Source organism: Homo sapiens, chromosome 9 (genome assembly GCF_000001405.40).
Source record: "Homo sapiens chromosome 9, GRCh38.p14 Primary Assembly".
NCBI lineage: Eukaryota > Metazoa > Chordata > Mammalia > Primates > Hominidae > Homo > Homo sapiens.
Genome location: NC_000009.12, coordinates 17,027,391 through 17,051,450, shown reverse-complemented (window position 1 = coordinate 17,051,450; position 24,060 = coordinate 17,027,391). Strand labels below are relative to the sequence as shown.

The following is a 24,060-nucleotide window of genomic DNA, read 5'->3' as shown; positions in this document are numbered from 1 at the left end:
CTAAAAATGCAAAAATTAGCAGGGCATAGTGGCACGCACCTGTAGTCTCAGCTACTCGGGAGGCTGAGGCAGGAGAATCACTTGAACCCAGGAGGTGGAGTTTGCAGTGAGCCGAGATCGTGCCACTGCACTCCAGAGCAAGACTCTGTCTCAAAAAAAAGAAAAAAAAAAAAAAGTACTTACTTGGGACTTTGATTTTAAGCTACATCAATAAATCACTGACATAGCTTACTCCATGACATAGAATCATTTATTCATCTGTTCATCAAAATGTGCCAGCATTGTCTCCTGCACAGCACTGACCTGGGGGCTACACCATGAACATTATGAACAGATTACAGGTCCCTGATGTTGATGAGTCCACAGTCTAAGGCAAAGGAGGACATTTTTCAACAATATGTGGTGGAGTCTATAACACACATGAGCACAGGGGACCAGGAAGAGGAAGGGCCTCTACTACACTCTAATGGTGAGAGAAAGACAGAAATAGAAAAAGCTTCCAGCAAGTGACAGTAGCTAAGCTGATAACTTATAGAATACTGTACATTTTAATTGGGCCATCCATAGGAGAATATTTACTTAAAGAAATACTCTACATGTGTCTTTGTCTCCTAGAATGAGTGAACTAGATGAAATGAACAATTAGATCTGTGTGTAAAGATAAATCTCAAAATCATAATACTAAATGAAAAATCAAAGTTACAGACTGATGTATACATTACAGTGCCATTTAAGTAAGTTTAAAAACATACAATAGCAACACTTGTTTAGGGATAAATACCTGTGTAGTCAAAGTATGGAAGCACATACTAGAAGTCAGATACATACCAAAATCATGAGCACAGTTGTCTCTGGAGAAGGAGGAAAATAGGACCAGGTACAAAGAGGCTCCAGCTGGATCAGTAATATTTCAGTTTTACAAATATAAATGAAGGGAATATTATAAAATGTTAACATTTATTCATTGTGAGTGGTGGGCACAATGACATTGATGACACTAGTTTCTGAATGTTTAAGTATTAAAAAGTCTTTTTCCTAGTTTTAAAACACTACCCTAAAAATCTAATTCAACATCAATACTAGAAAACAGCCTACTTGCAAGGAAGAAATGAAATCTTATATAAATTATCATCAAAGGTAGTTTAGTTTACTGTATTTTTGCTGCCGACACATCAAGACTCTTTTTCAGTGTATCTAAATCATCAGGTACTTCTTTGTATCTTCATATGACAACTGCAAAATATATGGTTCCAACACTGAAAGTGATAAACTAGGATTTCATCTCTTGTTCCTAGAGCTTCCAAAGATAAAAGGTAAGGAAAAGAATAAGTAGGGAGGAAGCCATGGGCCTCAGAGGCTACAGGGATGTTATAGCCTCCGAGTAGCAATTGCCAAACTATGATCAAGGCCCACTGGCTAAGCAGAGAACCCCTTAGTTCACGTACCCCACTCATTCCGAGTTTCTAGCAGAAAAAAAAAAATGATGATTAGAATAAAATACCACTTTAGAAGCTGATAGGGGGGTGCCACTGATTATATGAACAGTAGGGACTGAATGATATTCAAGCTATCAACAGATGTCTAAAAATCTATATATCAGGAAGTTATAGGGTAAAACTCTGTTGATGAAAATATATACTATCACAGGCTAACTGGGCAAATCACAGCAAATTAAAATGATAAAGATGAAGCAAAACCAATAATAACTTGTAACTAAAAAGCTAGAATATTAGTAGTTGAAAACCACGGAAAACTCCAATCAAAACTGATGATTCTGGCAGGAATTCCTAGTATCTCACTGAGTAAAAGCCAAATTATTGTGTGTCCACTAAACTTATAAATAAAATGCCAAACTAGTCTTCTGCAAACGCTAATAATTTTGATTTATGACTGCCATATAGAATGATGTGAATCCAAGCCACAGCACTCCATGCAAGAAAAATTTTATAACTTTTAAAATGGGGACCTCTAAGTCCCTACTTCCCAGGTTAATGAGACGCCCGAAATCATTACTGGAGAGCAGGCTCACTCTACTTGTACAGTCCAATCAGAGTCTTTGAACTTATACAGAGGGTCTTTGGTCCATCACTGTCACTGCTGAGATGTACACTGTCTAAGGCAGCCTAGTCCATTTTGAATGAAGGCAGGTGTCTCCAGTCCTTCAGGTCTAACATAGACCCCCAAGTCTCATGTTGCTCCTAGGCAGCCTTGCCTTCCAGTCTCATGAAGTGCACCATGCAGGCAACTCATCAGTAAACAAATTTAACCTGAGCTTCTGCTGGGCTCACAAATCCCCAAGACTGTCTCTTTCTCAACCTCTGCCTTCTCACTTTAGTTCAGTCCATTCTGACTTTTCCAACTCCCAACAGCCCTTATTAATCTCTTCAATGGCCCTGAACTTCTACTTACCTGTAGGAGGAGTGAGGTAATATACAGTGTGCTAAGAACCTTGGAATCATATTGGCACTCTGTTTTGGGGGGAGCAGCATGTCAGGGAAGCCGATGCTTTATTCTTCTTGGGTTAGCCTACAGCTGGAGAAAAAAAAATCCCAAAATTACACAAAACCCCAAACCAAAAAATAAAATAAAACAAACAAAAATAATGTGGGGTATTTTCCCTTAATAGCTCATTCTCTTACCATATTTTAGTAATACTTAATTAGAATTTATCAATACGTAGCACTTACTCATAAGCATAAATAAAGGCTTATGGGAATGTTTACTCTTAAAGATTTTTAGAAACAACTTTCTTTTTTGATTAGAGGTTCATGGTGAGATCACTGCTGGGCTGAAGATGATACTTTGAGTAACAATGAATCGGGATGGGAGGTGGTCACAGACACTGCTTGCTTCTTTTTCTTGTCATTTCCCCTCTACCTGCTGAAGATGTTGCTGGCTATTTCCTCCAGAACCTGAGCTAGAATGGCCAGGATCCTGCTCTGCCTTTAGCTCGGGCTACAGACTCCCTCCTTTCCCAAGATGCAAAACCTTCATCCCACTCCCACACTATATCATCTCACGGGCTCCCCATTCTTATCTCCCTCCAACTGTCGGCAGGGTCAGGGCCTCAGGCCACTTCGCAACAGGGCTGTCTGCTTTGAGGACTAAAGAAGCTTCACTAGAAGTAGAGATTTATTAAGGAGTGGTAATCAGCTCCTGCAGGTGGGTGTAAGCCAAACAAAACCCACTGTCAGTTTAATTTCCAAGAAGAGATGGTGGATACATCTTTTTTTATTCATATGGACCAAAGAAATTACTGAGAGTGGCAGAGGGTAGTGTATTAGTCTGTTTTCACATTGCCATGAAGAACTACTTGAGACTGGGTAATTTATGAAGAAAAGAGGTTTAATTGACTCACAGTGCTGCATGGCTGGGAAGGCCTCAGGAAACTTACAATCCTGGCAGAAGGCAAAGGGAAAGCAAGGCACATCTTAATGACAGCAAGAGAGAGACAGCAAAGAAAGGCGCACACTTTTAAACCATCAGATCTCATGAGAACTCCCTCACTATCATGAGAACAGCATGGGAGAACCACCCCCATGATCCAACCACCTCCCACCAGATCCCTCCCCCGATACGTGGGGATTGCAATTTGAGATGAGATTTGGGTGGGGACACAGAACCAAACCATATCAGGTGGACTTAGCAGGAGGTAGATATTGGATTGGTGTAAGGAAGAACTCAAATGAACCCAAGTGAACTCAATGGAGCTAACTGCTTCAGACACTGGAGATGCAGGGAGACCATGTATTACAGACCAGGGAAATTAAAGACTTTTTTTTTTTTTTTTTTTGGCTGCAAAGCACTCATTCTCTTTTCTGGCAATAGCACACTGATTTTCTTTCAGAGAACCATTCTTTCACCTCTCTCTCTTCATAAAATTAACGTGAAACTGTTCCCTGGCTAAAAGAATTAACAGATAATTTGGGGGTGGAGAGCTATTCAGGTCTTCTTATCCACTTCGCCACAGTAATGATTCCAGGATAAGCACATGACCCAAGTTGGTCCAGTCAGATTAAATTCTGAGACTTTTGCTAAAATTATTAAAGGAAAAATTTCTTCCCTCTTATGTAGTTTCTAAACTACTAGGAACAACCCTAAAAAAATAAAGGCCCATCTAAGAATAAAACCAAATAGAGGAAAACAAAAACAAAGAGCTGAAAGAGGAAGATTGATTCCTGATGATACCTTTTAGCCCCTGGATCCAGCTATGCCTGAAACCATTACTGCCAGTGAATTTTTCAGTCATGACAATCAATTGTCTTTTTTTGCTTAAGCCAGTTTGAGTTGCATGCCTTTCTATAATGTAACTGTTTTCTGTCAGTTAGAGAATCTAACTGATACAAGGAATGCCAAAGTGTTAGACAATGAGCTAGATGAGGTGATTCTAAAATTCAGTGAGTTGTTCTAATGATGGCTTTTTGTTATAAAAGTCATACATGTTAATTAAATTTTAAAATTGGAGAAACCAAAGGGGTATAAAGAAGAGAACAAATCACTCAGATTTACATTTCCTTATCCAGCAATAAAATATTGAGGATGAATGGACAAATAGGTAGGTAGACTTAATAATATATTATGAGCATATTCTTATGACCTTGCATATTTGTAGCAATTAATTATCTATGATGGTGTAGCATTCCATTTTATGGATATGGATCTATCTGTTTTGCTATTGTTGAGCATTTGAATTCTTTCCATTTTTCTCTATTACAAATAATGCTTTATTAACCTCTTTGTACATAAATTATTGTGTACATCTCTTATTTCCTTAAGACAAATTCCTGAAATAAGAATTATTGGATAACCACTATAAATAACTTTGAAACTATGAATATGCCTAAATTACTCTACAGGAAAGTTGTATATTCCCTCCTAGTATCAAAGAAGCCAGGCACAAAAAGAGCATTTTTTGTATGATTCCGTTTACATAAAATATTCTCACTAGGCAAATATATAGAGATGGAAAGTAGAAACCCCCCAGGGCTAGGGGGTTGGGAGAAAACGGGGAGTGACTTTTAGTGGGTACAAAAGTTTCTTTTTGAAGCGATAAAAATATTACACACTTAATTGTGGTAATGTTTGAACAATTATGTGAATATCTAAAAACCATTAACTGTCCATTTTAAATGGGTGAATGGTGTGGTAAATTATATCCCAATAAAATCAGTTAAAAATAAAGCTGAGAATGTAAATCATTTTTCTAGCATATGGGTTACAAATATTTGTCTTAGGCCTGATTTTGTTTATGGTGGTTTTTGTGGGGTACAGAAAAACTAAATATTCATGTGGTAAAATCTCTTAATTTTCATGGGCTTTTTTTTCTTTGCATGCTAGGAAAGACCATCCTACCATTATAATCAGAAAAATATCTATATATTCTTCTAGTTCTCTTTGAGTTTGATTTTTTTTTTACATTTAATTCCTTTGGAATGTGTTTTACATATTTTTGTAACTGTTTTGAGGGCTTTTACTGGATGGTGTTCTTAACCTCAGCTTTTCTTTTCCTTTTCTTTTTTTTTTTTTTTAATATCGGAAAAACATGATGATCAGTAGTTTCAGTGCCCCTAATCTAACTTTCTCTTTCTTTGTCTATTTTGTATTCAGACTGGAATATGGCTTTAGCTGCTGTGATAAATCAGGAACCGCCTCCCCCTGACCCCACCCCACCCCTGCATCCTGCAAATTACACTTGGCAAATTATATTGTTGGATATGTTACTTGTTGAGTTGACTTCAGAGCTATAATCTGGAAGTTTGTCTAATTGGACTGATTAGTTTTGGTCTTGTGGTCATGAAAGAACCAAGAAATAAGTCTGAAATATCAGATACATTCATCAGCCAAGATAGGGAGGTGTTGATGGCTTCCCTTTTATGTAACTCCAAATGGCTGCGGCATGTTTGGCTCATATTCTTTTGATTTGTGATTTAATTTTTACAAACTGTAGGAAGAAAATTGCTGCCAATGTTATGGTTTGAAGAGCTGGCTTTTCTATCCAAACACACAGAAAATGTAGTATAATGACTGGGCCCAGATAATGAGGCAGGAGGAGGGAAAGTAGAAGGTTGGCAAGAGAGCGTGTCCCTTTCTGCCATTTTGTGGGAAACCAGAAATGGCAAAGAATGAGAGTAAAAATATGCTCATTATTCCTGTCTTCAAAGGCTTCCTCAGTCTCTAATGAGCACTGTGTTGCTTCTTCACTTTTTTAAATGGCATTTAGCATGAGAGACACCACCTGAGGACATTTTCTAGACCTCAGAGAACTGTGCCAACTCAAGCATAGTAACATTTAAGGTCCTGCTGATGACACTGTCCTTCCCCAGATACAGGATCCCTCTCTTCCATTAAGAAACCAGGACTTGAGAGTATTACACTAAAATAAGACACTGACTTCTCTTCACTAGCAAAGGACTTCAAAAATTGACCTGGGCCCCACGCTGTCCTCAGCCCTTTGCAGTCTGAGTTCTCACCACCCAAATCACACTACATTTTCCAAAGTGACTGATTTCTTCTTGTTCACACATCACATGGCCTTTCCTCCTTTCTTTAGTCTTCATTCTCTCCCGAGGAAGCAGAGATGCCCTTGCCTGTTCCCTCCTTGTGATTCTCATCCTCCCTTGCCTCAGGAGTACCTTATATTCTTTGGGTCCACAGGGTGATGTGGTGAGGAGTACAGGCTGTGGACTCAAATCCTGAGTTGTGAACCTTAATGTCTCAGTAACTTGGTGACTCCATGTGCAACTGGGGAGAGTAACTGTGGCCACCTCATCCAGCTGTATTAAACGAGTTAATATATATAAAGACCTTAGAACAGTGCCTGCCGCAGAGTCCGCGTTTATACAGAGCTCACTGCTATGACTATCCCCACTACTGCTAGAGTTGTTGTTACGGCTTTAGCGGTTATATTTACTACTGTAGTATTTTCCTCCTACCTCTCTGATGCCTTTTCATTGGTCTCTTCTCAGCCCCTTCTGTCTTTCTTCAGCCTCCCAGGTGTTTGCAGGTCTTGGGCCTCATCTCTCTCCCCTGCTCCATTGGGGAAATCTCACTGAGTCAGGCACCTCTTTTGTGTCCCCCTCAGATCCTCTCAACTCCACTGTCTCCTCCAGCCAATGTTGTGATGACCATGTGCTCACAGACATTGACCAGGTTCACACTGGTGCAACCACAGCACCTCACTGTGGCTCCCTAACAGGCATCTCCTGCTTCTCATAATCGGCTTCTCTGTTGGATCACCTGCAGGAATCCTGCATAGAGACATGTAGAGAGAGGGGGACGGTTTGAAGAAGATGAGAAATGGAAGGGTCCATTGAAAAATAAGCTTTTCAAGACTGGGCGTGGTGGCTCACGCCTGTAATCCCGACACTTTGGAAGGCCAAGGCAGGCAGATCACCTGAGGTCAGGAGTTCAAGACCAGCCTGGCCAATATGGTGAAACCCTGTCTCTACTAAAAAAAAAAAAACAAAAATTAGCAGGGTGTGGTGGCGGGCGCCTGTAATCCCAGCTACTTGGGAGGCTGAGGTATGAGAATCACTTAAACGCAGGAGGCGGAGGTTGCAGTGAGCCAAGATTGCGCCACTGCACTTTAGCCTGAGAGACAGATTTTCGAGACTCCGTTTCAAAAAAAAAAAAAAAAAAAAAAGAAAGAAAAAAAGAAAAGAAAAGAAATAGAAAGAAAAATAAGCTTTCTGGCCAGGTGCAGTCACTCACACCTGTAATCCCAGCACTCTGGGAGGCCAAGGCAGGCAGATCAGCTAAGGCCAGAAGTTCGAGACCAGCCTGGCCAACAGGGTAAAACCCCGTCTCTACTAAAAATACAAAAATTAGCAGGGCGTGGTGACACACACCTGTAGTCCCAGCTACTCAGGAGGTGGCAGAGTCGTTTGAGCCTGGGAAGTGGAGGTTGCAGCAAGCCAAGATCATGCCCCCGCACTCCAGCCTGGGTGGCAGAGTGAGACTCCGTCTCAAAAAAAAAAAAAAAAAAAAAAAAGAGAAAGAAAGAGAAAAAGAAAAGAAGAGAAGAGAAAAGAGAAAAGAAAAGAAAAATAAGCTCCCCTGGGGGACTTCATGGAGCCAGTGAGAGCAAAGTTTTCAGGAGCTGGTGACAAAATGTGGTGGGAGGTTAGAGGTTGGCTTCTTCTCCCCTGCCGTTTTCCATCCTTCACATTGACCCAGAACAATTCTGGCACCCCAAAGAGAAGACTGTGGCAGCATCAGAAAATCTGTTTCCTGGGGACCGCCATCAGCAGAGGCGGTGCTGTCTCCTTGCTCAACCCAGGGCAGCAGCAGCAGCTGGGGAAGCCGCACTGGAGGGAGCAAGCTAGATGAAGTGGGAAAGCTGCTTTGTGGCCCCATAACAGGCATCCTTTTGGGGACTCGGAATTTACCAGGGCACACTGAAGTTGGAGATTCGCCCCTCAGGTAAGCTTGACCTTCCCAATCTTCATAGCCTTAAGCAACTTGTTCCCACCCAGACATTGCTGTGGTGACCAGCCATGAGTCTGTGAGTGAAATGCAACAGTCCCTCACCCCATGCCACATCTGCCACATGTTGCTTTCTGCCCCAGAGCTTCCTTATTGACACGGGGCTTTAAAAGCTGTGGGACCCCACAGTACCTGTGCACGCATCGCTGTAAGTATAAGGAAGATATTCCATATCGCAAACCTTTGACCTATGTGAAATGGAGCCAGGGAATAGATTCATCCCAATTCCTCGCATTGCATTCTCCTGGGAACTAATTTTTATATGGATTCTTAGAAGGTCGGGTAATCAGTCTCCCTTCAAAGGGTGGCAAGCTCAGTAGCGCACCCTCGTGGGGTCTCCTCACCTTTCCAGCCTCACTCCCCCATAGTCTCACTTCTGTTACCTGGGGTTGTGGTCCCTAACAAAGAAGTCCTCACAAGCTTTTGCCTCAGGCTTTACTTTCTGGGGAACAAAGAATAAGACAAAGTGGAGTTGTGGTTGGGCAGTGAGTCAGTAGGGCTGGAGCCAGTGTAATTTGGGACATGAAAATTCAATACTATCGCATTTTATATATCTCAGCCTAGTAAAGGCATGTTGTATTTTCATTAGATCAAAATATGGAGCCCTAAATCCTCCTAAATACAAGTCTCATATTTTCTCCCTGCTGGACAGCTTCACCAGGATGTCACTCAAATACTTCCAACTCAATATATCCAAAACTGACCCCATAATTTGGGCTGCCCAAACTTCCCTCAAACTGATAAAATGATCCATGTTGTATGTTCCCTGCGGCAATTGTCATTTTTTTATCCTAATCATTGTCCTAATTCACCAGACTAGAAAACTCAAAGTAAGCTTTAACCCCTCCTTCTCTAGACGATTCCATCGCTAGTCATCGCCCACTGGTTGTTTCTGCCTTCTTTATATCTTCTCCATTGTTCCTTTGTCACTGTCCTGGTTGAAGCTCCTGCTATCATTTGTGTGAAGCATTGTGAGAGTTTCCTAACTGGTCCCCCTGCTTCAGTCTTTCACCCCTCTGGTCCATCTTGCAAATTCCCCATCCACAAACCCATTATTGTATTCTTCCTTCACTTCAAGCTCTGAGATATTAAAAATACATTCAAGGTTACCTTTGCAAATTTCTTAAATATCTTGGCCTATGAAGCACTGTATAAACTATATATGCAAGCACATACTAGCAAGCAAACGTAAGTGCACTTAATTTATATCTCTTGGTAAGCCCAAAGTAGTTGGTTGTTCTTCTTGCATTAGAACAGATTGTTGTCTTCATGTTGAAGACTCAATGGGGTAGTTGACTTTGTGTTTAAGGGCTATCTTGTGTGAAAAATGTGTATGTTTAAATATGGTGATCATCTGCCGTGAGGTGAGATGGTCACATCATGAAAAGCGCTTGAGAACTGAGACTATTGAGGGAAAGAAATATTCACAACTCCCATCCCACACTCACTCTGGACTTGTGCTTATTGGTAGGAAGGTAGGCAGAACTAGCTGCTCTGTTTAAATTGTTCCCTTGTGTTCTCTCCCACATTTCCCAGGGCCTTAGTTGATTTGGGGTAAGGTAAATGCACATGAAATGTGACTGCACTGTAGACATTTTTGTATCACCCACAGACACAGTGAGGTGGCCTGCAGATAGTAGATACTCAGCAAATGAACAAACATGAAAATAAATGGAATCAAGAGAACTCAAACTAAGAGCTTCTGCACAGCAAAGGAAACAATGAAATGAAATGGCAGCCTATGGATTAGGAAAACATATTTGCAAACCATGTATATCTGACAAGGGGTTAATATCCAAAATTTATAAAGAACTCATGTAACTCAATTGTAGAAATTTTAAAATGAGCAAAAGAACTAAATAGACATTTCTCCAAAGAAGACAAAAATGTCCAACAGTTAGAAGAAAAGGCACTCAAGATCATTAATCATCAGAGAAAAGCAAATCAAAAACACTGTGGGATACCACCTCACACCACTTAAGATGGCTATTATCAAAAAGTCAAAAGATAACAAATGCTGTTGAGGGTATGGAGAGAAGGGAACACTTAACATTGTTGGTGGGGAGGTAGATTGGTACAGCCATTGTAGAAAGTAGTATGACGGTTTTGAAAGAAATTACAAGTAGTACTACCATAGGATCCTGCAATCCCTTTTATGGGCATATACCCAAAGGAAATGAAGTCACTACCTTGTAAAGATATCCACATTCCCAAGTTGATTGCAGTGTTATTCATAACAGCCAAGATGGAAATAACCTAAGTGTCTGTCAACAGACAGATGGGGAAAAAACTGACACTGCGACATACATACATACATACAAACACACGCACACACACACGTATACATATTTAATGGAATATTACCCAGCCCTTAAAAAGAATGAGATCTTGCCATTTGCCAGAACATGGGCGAGCCTGAAGAACATGGCTAAGTGAAGTAAGCCATATGCAGAAAGAAAAATGTTACATGATCTCACTTATATGTGGAATCTTAAAAAAAAACCCATCAAATATACAGAGATAGAGAACAGGAGCAGAAGGTGGGTGGGGAGGAAATGGGGAGATGTAGGTCTGAGGTTACAAAGTAATAGACGTGTAGGATGAGCAAGTATAGACATCTAATGAACAACATGAGGACTACAGGTAATAAAATTATGCTACATTTGGGATTCATGCTAAATTCGATTTTAGTTGCTCCTGCCACAAAAACCAAAAGAGGAGAACTATGTGACATTGTGGATATGTTAATTTGCTTTACTGCAGTAACCTTTTTGCTATCTATGTGTATCCCACAATATCATGCTGTTTACTTTCAATATACACAATAAAATTCATTTTTTAAAAAAAGAGACAGAATTCAATACTAGTCCTGGTTCTAGCATAGCAAACTATATGGTTTGGGTAAGTCACTTTACCATCCTACAACTAAATGTGAATCACACAAGTCTATAATTGGTTTATTCGCCCAAGTCGCTTTGTCTTGCTTGTACACATATAAATATAAGCCTATTATTATTAATAACAGTGACTATTATATATTGAGAATATATTTCGTACAGAAACTAGAGAAGGATCTTTTTACAAAGTGCTTATAATTCTCATATTAACCCTATGAAGAAGCTACAAAGCTCTTCTAATTATGAACACGTTCCACAGTGTATTTTCCAATCTCTTGGCTATAGAGCCAAGAGAGTCATTCTACGAGTGTCCACTAACATCGTCTCTTGGTGTTAGGCAGCATTAACAAGCTTTGGCTTTTACAGGAAGATTTGGACTGATACACTGCAATTTGCTGAATCTAAGGCACTGAAAAATTTTAAGACACTTGCTATTAAGACATTCTTAAAATAGGAATGTTTTAAGAATAAAAAAGCAAAAAGTATTTCTAATTAAATAGAAACACTACACTTTCTTGTCACTTACAATGTTCATCTTACACTTACTGAAAAAGCTCCTTCAGTCTTAGCCTTTTTAAACCATATATCACTCTTCTGCACACATACAGAGGACAATATAAGTGAAATAGACTAGTTAAAGTGTCCTAAACCTGCTGCACATTCGGAGGCTGAGTTTTCTGAATTACTCACTAAGAATTGCTGTTGCCCATGTTTTTCAATGCAGTACTGTCCTCTGTACATCAACAGTGTTGGTGATGCATTTCTTAAAAGAACCCATGAAAGAATCAAACCACTGGTTCTGAATTCTTAAGTCTGCTTTGCAATTATGTAGAGTTGGCTGACTTTGACTACAGCTTTGGAGATACTGCTAATACTTCTGATTCATTACCTCTTCACCCCCTCCCTATCATCATTTAGTTTCTAAAGGTTAAAAGAATGTTCCACTGTTCTCTACACTTGCAATTTTCTTCCAAGCCTCCTTCGGCAATTTTACAGTTTCGATGTTTACACACACACAATGATAACTGCATTGAAACAACAGTTATTGTAGACAACTATTGACTATAAAACACACTCCATTTCAGAGATGTTAAAATGAGGGGGGAAAGTGGGGACATCTTAGAAGCAATCAAATGTGTTCAATTGCAAGTTCACAGGCAGAGGAGCTTTGACATTAAAATTCCAAGTTTAGAGAGGAGGAAACTGGGCCAGGCACAGTGGCTTATGCCTGTAATCCCAGCACTTTGGGAGGCCAAGGTGGGAGAATCACTTGAGGCCAAGAGTTCCAGGCCAGCCTGGGCAACATAGCAAGACCCTGTCTCTACAAAAACATTATTTTAAAAATTAGCCAGCCATTGTGTTGCGTGCCTGTAGACCTAACTACTTAGGAGGCTGTGGCAGGAGGATCTCTTGAGCCCAGGAGTTCAAGACTGCAGTGACCTACGATTGCGCCACTGAACTCCAGCCTGGGTGACAGAGCGAAAACTCTCTCTCTTAAAAATAAAATAAAATAATAAAATAAAATAAAGAAGAAACTAGCTCAGAGAGGATCAGTAAAATTTGCCTAAGGCCACACTGTCCCGTGTGATTCCAAAGCACCCTCTACCGCATCACATACCCTTCCTTCCCAGCCAGTCTGCCAGTTAGTTTTCAGTCTTAAAAGAGCTCCACATTCCTTATTCTTGAAACTTTAGTGGGGCCTCCAGTCACCAGTCATCACCTCCACGGTGACCTCAGTGGGTGTTGTTGCTGGATCATTTCCCCCAGTGTCTTTGCTGCAAAGACACTGGGGGAAATTATTACTACAGTTAACAAGAGACCTTCAGTCTCCAAGAAACCAGATGAGACAAATAACATCACATGACCAAAATTAAGACATTTGTACCAGAGAAGAATGAAACGAAGCAGTTTTAACTGATCAGAGATTTGGCAACACATTTTATAGATTTCATTGTGCACCATTCAGAGTGCTGGCAGCCAATGAAGCCAAGTGCAAAATTCCAATTATTGCCTCATTTTTACCTAAAGTGTACATTTTTCTCTGGTTTCTCCTAAATTTTAATGCTTTCATTATACATCTGAAAATCTGGTATAGATTTAAGTGTTTCCAGATAATATCAGAGTTTTCTGTTAATTTGCTACACTTCTGTATGACTTCTGATCATGATTGGTAAACTTTAGGTATTAACTTTCCTAGTGCTGGTTCATTCCTGATCTGCTGGGCTATCTTGAGTACGTAAGAAGTCATCTTCCAGAAGGCATCTACTGTAGGTTTCATTATATATATATATACACATATATATACACACACACACATACCCAGCAACATATATGACACGGACAAAACTATTAAAATAGATCATTTGCCCCCTTTCTGCTACCAAGAAGAAAATATTCTTTGTTGTTTGACATGCTAAAGGGCTGGGGCCTCTGTTTTAATAATTGTAGTAATGGGTAGAGTTGCAGAACTGAAGCCACCAGAAGCAGGGAGTAGATTTGCAGAGTAATGCACATAGGAAAGGGCATCAAGCCACCCCAGGAAGGAAAAATCTACAAAGAGAATCAACAGAGACTATGTACTAGCCAGAGTTTTCAGAAAGATATGGAAAAGAGCTAACAAGCTACCTCTAAGACAATGAACCTTTAAGGAGACAACAATATAATACGAATTTTTAGGAAGTTTTACTTTACTTAGTGCTGTGAGATGTAATTCTGTCCCTTTGCAGAATCTTTAAAAAATACTTTAGTAGAAACACATTATTTTGCAAGGCTTTAGAGGATTCAGAATTACATTTCCTTTGGAAGGGGTACTTTACTAAGAGAAAAAAGCCTTAGAACAAGAGATAGAAAGCCCTTCTTTAGGTCAGTTACAACATATAACCTCATGGGCATATAACTTCATATAACATATAACCTCAGGGCCCAGAATACTCTCTTGTCTGGGATTAATAAACCTGTGGAAGACTGACTGTCCACACCTGAGCCAGTCTTCTTTTCTAAGGCCAGACAAAAAATTTTCCATGTTAAAAACAGAGGTGGTGATTGAAAGCAGATATGGAGTAAAGGAGAAAACATATTGACTAATCTCTGTGCATAGTCCTCTGAATGGTATAGAACATGGTGCATTGACCCTTCCTGACTTCAAGAAGTCCTCTCGATAAAATTCCAACAAAGGTGAGAATGCCTGGAGTTCTTTGTGCTTTCCTTAAAGTGCAGGAAAAATAGGAGCTCAAATGGAACCTCTATTACAAATACTGGACCAGCCAAACATATTAACAATAAAATTTCCAAATATTTTGCCAACCCCAATTTTTCAGAGGTTGGTTTAACACTCCTCTCTCCTACTCTCTGATATTATTGTAACTGCTAAGTAACACTTTATTATATAAATATGGCCTGTCAGGTCTAATTGCTGTGTGCAAATTTTGCTAAATCACAAAGTAAGGGTACATATGAAGCTGCTTATAGAAAATTGCAAAGTATTTAAGTGATGAGAAGAGAATGTTTTGATTGGCAGAAATATACATTTACTCTACCTAAAATTGAGGCGGCTACAAAGTCAAGTTTCCATACATAAATGATCTTTACCTGAAAAATTTTGTAAGAAACACCAAAAATGAAAAGAATAGCCAGGAAAAATGATCCCTGTGAGACAATGTATGTCACCAGCATAATACAACATGTAAATATCATTTTGTGTTAGATCCCCAAAACACATAGCCCTAAAAAAAAAAAAAAAAAAGAGTCTGATTTTGAATTTTGTTCTCCATTTACCATGGCATGGTTTGGATTGAAAATTAACAGTGAATAAAGCATGTAAATAATTAAGTTTGAAATGATAGTCATTACCACTTTCAAAGGGCTAAGTTCTCCTTTCTAATACTAGAAAATCCCTATTTTCTTCAAACATTCAAAGGTACTTAGGCTCCTAAGCTGTGGCATTAGTTCAATAACAGGCCAGGAGCACATGAGAGAGAGTTGCATTCATGAAACTTTCAGGCAGCATTTGTGTGTAGCTTTAAAGAGAATACTAAAATGCTTTTTAGGAATGACATCAACATTCAGGGTTGTGCCATTTCAGGGTTTAGCCTGATTTTCCCCGAGCTCCTGTTTGTTGCTAAGATATATATCTTTGTATTTTCACCCACAAAACAATTATACTGGTAGTCATGCTATGTTCAGATACCCAGATGAGGATCTATTACACTGAGATTTGCACACACCCCTTGCAAACCACAACTTCCAAGTTTTCATTTGGCCAAGTGTCTTCCAGTGAGTAGAGAAACCATCATTACCTGATCTCTACTTGTTAGGAAAATAACCCATCCCTAGGGATTTCCTTGAAAAGGTTGCTCCTTCATACTCAGTTAATTAAGTGTGCATTGCTTTCAAGAGTGATCATTCCACTGGTGAGAAAATTGCTTCTCCAGCAATAGCCAAAATTTGGGGAAAACATTTAGAGACTAATATCCAAATTTAGTATTGGGTAGGTAGTGTTGTCAGCATTTACTTGCCTCTGCAGATTGATGTAGGAGTTAGCATAGTTAACTCATCATTGGCTCAGAAGTCTAAGAATTTATAAATGGCATGATTAAGTATATCATCTAAGCACTTAGGATCAAAAGATTTAGCATAGGGAGATTTTATTGATGACATTACAGTTACCATTCATCACAATTGACTATTCAAATTTGAGTTTTAGAAAACCTAAAATTTGGCTGGGAGCAGTGGCTCACACCTATAATCCCAGCACTTTGGGAGGCCAAGGTGGGTGGATCACGAGGTCAAGAGATCAAGACCATCCTGGCCAACATGGTGAAACCCCGTCTCTACTAAAAATACAAAAATCAGCTGGGTGTGGCGGTGTGTGCCTGTAGTCCCAGCTACTCGGGAGGCTGAGGCAGGAGAATCGCTTGAACCAGGGAGGCGGAGGTTGCAGTGAGTCGAGATCATGCCACTGCACTCCAGCCTGGCAACAGAGCAAGATTCCGTCTCAAAAAAAAAAAAAAAAAAAAAAAGCTAACATTTGCATGAAGTTATATGACTAGTAAATAATAAACCCACGATCAGAACCAGATCACTGTTTCAGTAAGGAGGGAATTTATATATTACTATAGTTATCTAATTTTTCATAAACTAATTATTAGAATATTTACATTTTTGAAGTAGCAAACACGTTAAAAACTTTCTTTAGCCGAGAACTTACACCATCCCATATATTTTGGCTACAATTCTTCCCGTCTTTTCTAAAAAACCATATAGTCAAATTTAACATTAAAATCATCATTGTGACACCACTTGGACGCAGAACTTTTACTTTCTTTTTCCTTTCTTTTTAAAAAAAATAGAAACAGTACCTATATTAAGCCTGGCAATCTTATACTAACGCTTGAATTGGCACTTGCTTCACACAAGTATCAACCTAGTATCATTTGTTTTCTCAGAAAGAGCTGAATGTTTTGTTCTCTTCCAGGCACTGAAATGAATATTTGTACTAAAGGATATCAAAATTACATGTTCCTAGGGAATCTCAGCTTAACCAGAATAAAGATGGCATTCCAATACCATGGGAAAAGAGTGATATTTTAATGAGTAATACTCATATGCTGGCTATCCAGCTAGAAGAAAACAAATTCAAGCTCCTACTTTATTGGGTATACATACACCAAAAAAAAAAAAAAATCTAAATGAATTACAGATATAAGTGTAAACAAAACTGTAAGACATTAGAAGAAAATTTAAGAGAATATTTTGTATAATGCATGATTTAGGGGGAAAAGTTAGGGAAACATATTTAAACAGCTCAAAATGTTAAGAAGTTGTAAAACAAAAAAAATACCACACATACAAAATCTAAAGATAAATGGTAAGCTGAGAGAAAATATTTGTGGTATATATGACAAAATATGGAGTTTGTGTTTTTATACACAAACAAAGCTCTTATGAATTTGAAAGAAAAAAGTCAATCTAATAGAAATCTGGGAAAAGAAAATGCATAGAAAATTTACAGAATATGAAGTGCAAACAGACAATATCATATAATCTGATACTCAACTTGACCAAGGGTTGGAGGCCATGAAATGGTCAGATCTCATCTGTGGGGAGCATAAATGAGTCATGATACCAATTGGTGACCCTCTGGATCCACAAAGGCCAAGTTTCCCAGGTGGCAGCCAGCCGATGATTAAAAGCACCATGGAGGCACTAATGCAAGTTCATTACTGTGACGTGTAGAACTCTCAACTGGTCACTGGCTCAAGGATTACCCAATAGTCTTGCTGAAGCTTTCTTAGAATGGTGCTGAAATTTAAGGCTTTTCCTACTCAATCCTCTTTCCTTCCCACTCTCCTTCTGAGGTGCCAGTCCTGCATCATGGTGCAAAAGTTCTCCCTGCTTTCTCCTGTTTCTTCTCCATTATGTTTCACAGATGTTACCCAATATATCTTGAGTGTATAATCTTGTCTTGACATCTGCTTCTGAGAAGACTCAGACTAACAGAGAATAACACAAAATAACAATATAAGCAAATATAAACAATATTATGCTGCTCTTCAGATTATAAATTGGTAAAACTACTTTGGAAAAAATGTTGGCATCTTGTAATGATGCCAAAGAGGTATATAACATAACAACATAGAAATTCCATTTCTAGGTAGATAACCTAAAAAAGTGGTTCTCGGCTGGGCACGGTGGCTCACACCTGTAATCCCAGCACTTTGGGAGGCCAAGGCAGGTGGATCACGAGCTCAGGAGATCGAGACCATCCTGGCTGAGACGGTGAAATCCGGTCTCTACTAAAAATACAAAAAAAAAATTAGCCAGGTGTGGTAGCGGGCACCTGTAGTCCCAACTACTCGGCAGGCTGAGGCAGGAGAATGGCGTGAACCCTGGAGAAGGAGCTTGCAGTGAGTCGAGATCGCGCCACTGCCCTCCAGCCTGGGTGACAGACTGAGACTCCATCTCAAAAAAAAAGAAAGGTGGTTCTCATGATGTGTTCCAGGGAAACGTGAAGGTCACTAAGACACTTTTAGGGGGTCTGTAAGTTCAGAATTATTTTTGTAATAATACTATATTTTTGACTGTCATTTTCTCATGACTGTACATTGGTGTTTTGAGTGGCTTCATGATGTGTAAAAACATGCTTGCTCTCACAACTAATGGAATTTGTGCTTGAATATTTATGTGTCCTCTAATTTTTCTAATGTAGCCAGTTAGGATATAAAGTGTAGAGTTTCAGAGATTAACTCAATTTCATGCCCAAAATTCTACTGCATTCTTATGAGCTAGCTTCAGTTATATCTGTTATCATCTCTAAAACCTTGTTATCCTCTATCATCCAATAAATTGTTATTTATAAATTCCAAAATTATCCCAGTGCCTATGCAGACACACAATAAGAATAAGGATATTTTGTTGTCTTGTTTCATAAAAGCATGTAAAATTCTTTTTGAAAGCTTTTTTATAGGTTTTAATTTTATGTGAAAGTGTTACTATTTCCAAATGTTACAATACTGATAACGGATCACTGGATTTAAAAAGGGGAATTAGTCAACAATAATAAACAATCCAGTTAAAAAAGTGATGTTTTTCATTGTCACTTAAAAATTGTCAATTTCAATATCTGTCCAATTGAAAGGAATTGAACAGATATTTCTCCAAAGTAGACAGACCAACAAGCACTTGGATACTCAAAATCACCAATCATCAGGAAAATGATAAAACCTCAATGAGATACTACGCCACACCCATTAGGATGGTTACTATCAAAATAAAAAGAAAAAAAAGAACCAATGTTGGCAATGGTATGAAAAGACTTATCTCTGTGCACTACTGCTGAGAATGTAAAATATTGCAGCTACTACGGAAAACAGTATGGTGGTTTCTCAAAAACTTAAAAATATGAATACCATTTGAGGCAGCAATTCCACTTCTGGGTATATGCCCAAAAGACTTGAAAGCAGGAGCTCAAAGAGACATTTCTACACCTATGTTCATGGTAACATTATTCATGATGGCCAAAAGACGGAAGCAACCAAAATGTCCATTGACAGATAAATTGACAAACAAATGCAGTACATACATACAATGGAAGACTATTCTGCTTTAAAAAGAAGAAATTCTGACACATGTGATAACATTGATGAACCTCAAGGACCTTATGCTAAGTAAAATAAGCCAGTCGCAAAAGCACAAATACTGTATAATTCCACTTCTGAAATACCTACAGTAGTCAAATTCATAGAGACAGAAGGTGGGATGGTGGTTTGCTATGGGCTGGGAGGAGGGAGAGTGGGAAATCAGTGCTTAACGGGTTTCAGTTTCGCAAAATGAAAAGAGTTCTGAAAACAGATGGTGGTGATGGTTGCACAACAATGTGAATTTACTTAGTCCTACTAGAGCAAATGCTTAAAAATGGTTCAGATGGCAAATTTTACATTATGTGTATTTTACCAGCATTTTTTTAAAAACAGAAATTAAAGGGCTTGTTTATTTAATCCACATTTGCACCATCTATGACTTGCAATGCTGAAAAATATGAGACTGTCATATCAGAGAGCTGTCTTACTCATAGAAAGGAGAATATCTACACCAAAGAAACAGAGAAACTGTAAAAAAAAAAAAAAAAAGAAAGAAAGAGAAAAAATATATAATGAAGCTATCTTCCCTTCCCTCCACTGTACGGGTGGTAATTGTTTACCTTTTTATGTATTAGGCAACAGAATATTTTAAAATATTATTTTCATGCAAGTTAGGTTGTGGCCTGTTTGTTTGTTTGTTTGTTTGTTTTTGAAATGGAGTCTCACTCTGTCCCCTGGGCTGGAGTGCAGTGGCACGATCTCAGCTCACTGCAAGCTCTGCCTCCCGGGTTCACGCCATTCTCCTGCCTCAGCCTCCCGAGTAGCTGGGACTACAGGCGCCCACCACCACGCCCAGCTAATTTTTTTGTATTTTTAAGTAGAGATGGGGTTTCACCGTGTGTTAGCCAGGATGGTCTTGATCTCCTGGACCTCGTGATCCACCTGCCTCGGCCTCCCAAACTGCTGGGATTACAGGCATGAGCCACTGCGCCTGGCTGGTTGCAGCCTCATTTTAAGACCAATCGATCAGAGTGTAAAGAAAAATAAATGAAACACTTCGAAAGCCAAAGATTGTTTGACAAAGCATTTTGAACCAGAAATGAAAAAGCCCCTGAGGTATATTACAGGGAAAGTCATCATACAACATGAGCTGGAGTCCACACAACAACTGAGAACAAATAAAGCCTGGAACAGTTGAATTGCTGAATACCTGCTGGATAAAAAGCTGTAAATTGATTCATGACACTGCCACCTTCTCCTGAAACAGTAACTCATTGAATTAATGATTCAGTTAGAAATATGAAGATTGGGTTACTCTTTGTCAAACTGTACTTTTGTCGTATAAATGGATGAATCTACAAATGTGACTGTTTTGCTTGTATCTGTCCAGTATTGGCACCAACTAAACATTGAACATCTTATTTTATGTGCATGCTAGGGAGTAGAGATCGGTTGTGCTAAAATACCCAAAGTGTCAAATAACTTTTAAAATCCCTTCATCTAGCCTGGAACAACTATGTTGACATTTGCAGTGGCATGAAATTGTGCTAGCAGTTATTGTATTCTTCACCAACCTCACACTTGAAGTTAAAAACCAAAGGCAATTTCACTTAAGAATACCCTTGATGAAGAAGTAAATATTATTAATGTTTTTAAACTTGACCTTTGAGCAGATCTTTTTTAATAGTGTGTGTGACAAGATGGAAAATATGCATAAAACACTTCCTTAGCATGTGTATAAATAAGAAGCATGATGATCATCTCCAGGAAAAGTACTTGTGAAATTATTTGAGTTGCAAGCTGAACTAGCCACTTTCTGTTTTTTGTTTTCATAGAACATCATTTTTTCTTAAAGTGTGACTCACAGACAAACTATTATCTTCAGACTTCGGTATTTAGAAGACATTTTCTCAAAAATGAACAAAGTGACCCTGTCATTTTAAGGTAAACAACTATTTGTTGTCAACGATAAAATTCAAGTAGTTAAGAAAATTCTAGAATTTTCTAAATGTGTACCACTGTGACCATGACAGCTTCCCCATTCTTAGAGATTTTTCTCCTGAGGGGGGCCAGGCCTAGGAGTAAAGCAAGAGAGATGCCTGGGCACAAAATTTAAAGATGTTTCACTCTTGGGGAGGAAGGTCATTCTAAAGGAGGCCTCACTTACAGGGTCACGCAAGCACAGGGTTAGTACTTACACGACCCTGAGAGTGTGTTCCTTCTTAATTCTGCAACTTCAGTTGCCTCCCCCTAGTCCTGGCCCTGCTATTGAGATTGGTAATAACATTAATAAATGTGGTTTTTGATATTGTATAAAGAATTACATCAACATTGAGAACACCTGCATAACTACCAGTTAACCAATATTTTGACCAACATACGATGTTACAAAATCAAGCATGGGTAAAATGTTCATTCAAAGTACAAGACAGATCAATGTATTTTAACGTAAAAGAGTATAAATATTCATATTATTTCAAATTCTATAATGTATCTAGCCTTTAAGAAGTTACCATTTGTCAAGTTTTGGTCAGACAAGAATATCCACACTTATCTGGAAAGGCTATTCAAATGTTCCTCCCTTTTCCAATTTCATATCTGTGTGAGATCAGATTTTCTCCCTACATCTCAACCAAAACAACAAAGGACTAATGCAGAAGCTGATAACAGAAGCCAGCTGTCTTCAATTAAGCCAGACATTAAAAAGATTTACAAAAACTTGTAACAATGCCACTCTTCTCATTAAGTATTTTTATTTTGGAAAATACACATTGTTTTTAAATTAGAAATATTTATGTTCACATGTTATGTGTTTATGTTTGTAATGAATTAATAAATATTTTTAAATTAAAGGTAATGGCAAAAAAACCGCAATTACTTCTGTGCCAACCTAATAAACTGACATAAACAAAAGCTCTTTGGAGTCTTTAATAATTGTTAAATGTATAAATTGTCCCTGAGACCAAAAAGTTTGAGAACTGTTGCCATAGGAAACTTTTTGGACATGAGTACCAGGAAATAGGCAAAAATGTGCGTGGTGCCACTGTTTGCAATAGCAAAAATGTATAAACATCCCAAATGTCCACCAATTTGAGATAGGTTGCATTCATACATAATAAAACAGTGAAAACCCATGAACTATAGTTACACACATCACATGAATACCACAAAGATAATGTCAGGTAGAATAAGCAAGTCACAGAATGCATACGTGTATAATTTATACACATATGTGTATAAAACTCAAAATGTGCAAAACTAAATGACATACTATGTACAGATACATACATATATGGTAAAATGTATGAAGAAATATAAGAGAAAAGAAAACAAATCAGAGTAGGGTTAACACTATCAGGGAGGATGGGAGGTGGTGCTGAACCTCATTTAGAATATGAACTATTTTTCAAGTTGGGTGGGAGCACACAGTTCTGAAAATAATAACTCCTTTAATGGTACATTTGTATTATAAATTCTCTTTTGCATATATATTTCACAATTTAAACATGAATAATAGTGGTATATCTTTTACTTTTTTTTTTTTTTTTTTTTTGATACAGGGTCTCGGTTTGTCACCTAAGCTGGAGTGCAGTGGTGCGATCATGGGTCACTACAGCTTCCACCTCTCAATCTCAAGTGATCCTCTCACCTCAGCCTCCTGAGGCACTGGGACTATAGGCGTGTACTACCATGCCTGGCTAATTTTTTTTCATTTCTTATTGTTTAATGATTAGCAACACTTTTACGAATTTCTGATGTGTTTGTGAATTGCTGCGGTCTTCTGCAAGGTAACCTAACATGATCTATTAAATTCAAAGTGTGTGCAACTTTTGATCCAGCAATGTAACAATGGGAATCTATCTTGAAACACTGAAAGGACTAATACATGAAACTGGGTGTGTGTGGCATGGGTGTGTCTGTGCAGCTATTATGGCATCATTGGCAGTGACCAAAAATCTGGTACCAACCTGGATATCCATCAATAGGGGAACAGTTGAATAAATCACAATAGCTTCATATTTGTAGTATTACATGTCTATTAAAATATTAACTTACAGTCTGTATATCTACCTGGAAAGATTTCCATGTTATATTAAATGAAAAAATATTGCAGAGAAATGTAAATAGGGTTATTTCTTTTTTTAAGAAATAGGAAAGCCCCTATATATTAATAAACATTTTTTCTATGAGCATAGAGAAATATATGAAAGATATTTACATATTAAGCTGTTAACTGAGTTCAAGGGGCTTAGATGAGAGGGGTATAAGACAGATTATTAACATTTCTTTATATACATCTGTATTATTTGAACTATGAAAAACAGCATATATTATGTTCATAATTGAGAAAATGTATACAGAATTTTAGGCTGGGCATGGTGGCTCATCCCTGTAATCCCAGCACTTTGGGAGGCCAAGGCGGGTGGATCACCTGACGTTAGGAGTTCGAGACCAGCCTGGCCAACATGGTGAAACCCCGTCTCTACTAAAAATACAAAAAATTAGCCGGGCATGGTGGTGGGCGCCTGTAATCCCAGCTACTTGGGAAGCTGAGGCAGGAGAATCGCTTGAACCCAGGGGGCAGAGGTTGCAGTGAGCTG

At 38.6% G+C, this 24,060-nt stretch overlaps 1 long non-coding RNA gene across 3 annotated transcripts in view; it reads right to left on the bottom strand.

The window, feature by feature from the left end:
* Nucleotides 1-232: 232 nt before the first annotated feature.
* The window catches only part of LOC105375983 (uncharacterized), a 37,147-nt gene continuing 13,319 nt past the window's right edge, over nucleotides 233-24,060 (bottom strand). The window contains exons 3-4 of one of the 3 annotated variants that reach the window (XR_001746629.2): nucleotides 2,410-2,532; nucleotides 233-894 (exon numbers count right to left, since the gene is read on the bottom strand). This is a non-coding gene — a long non-coding RNA (uncharacterized LOC105375983). The other 2 variants (XR_001746628.1, XR_001746630.2) reach the window with 2 other exon arrangements.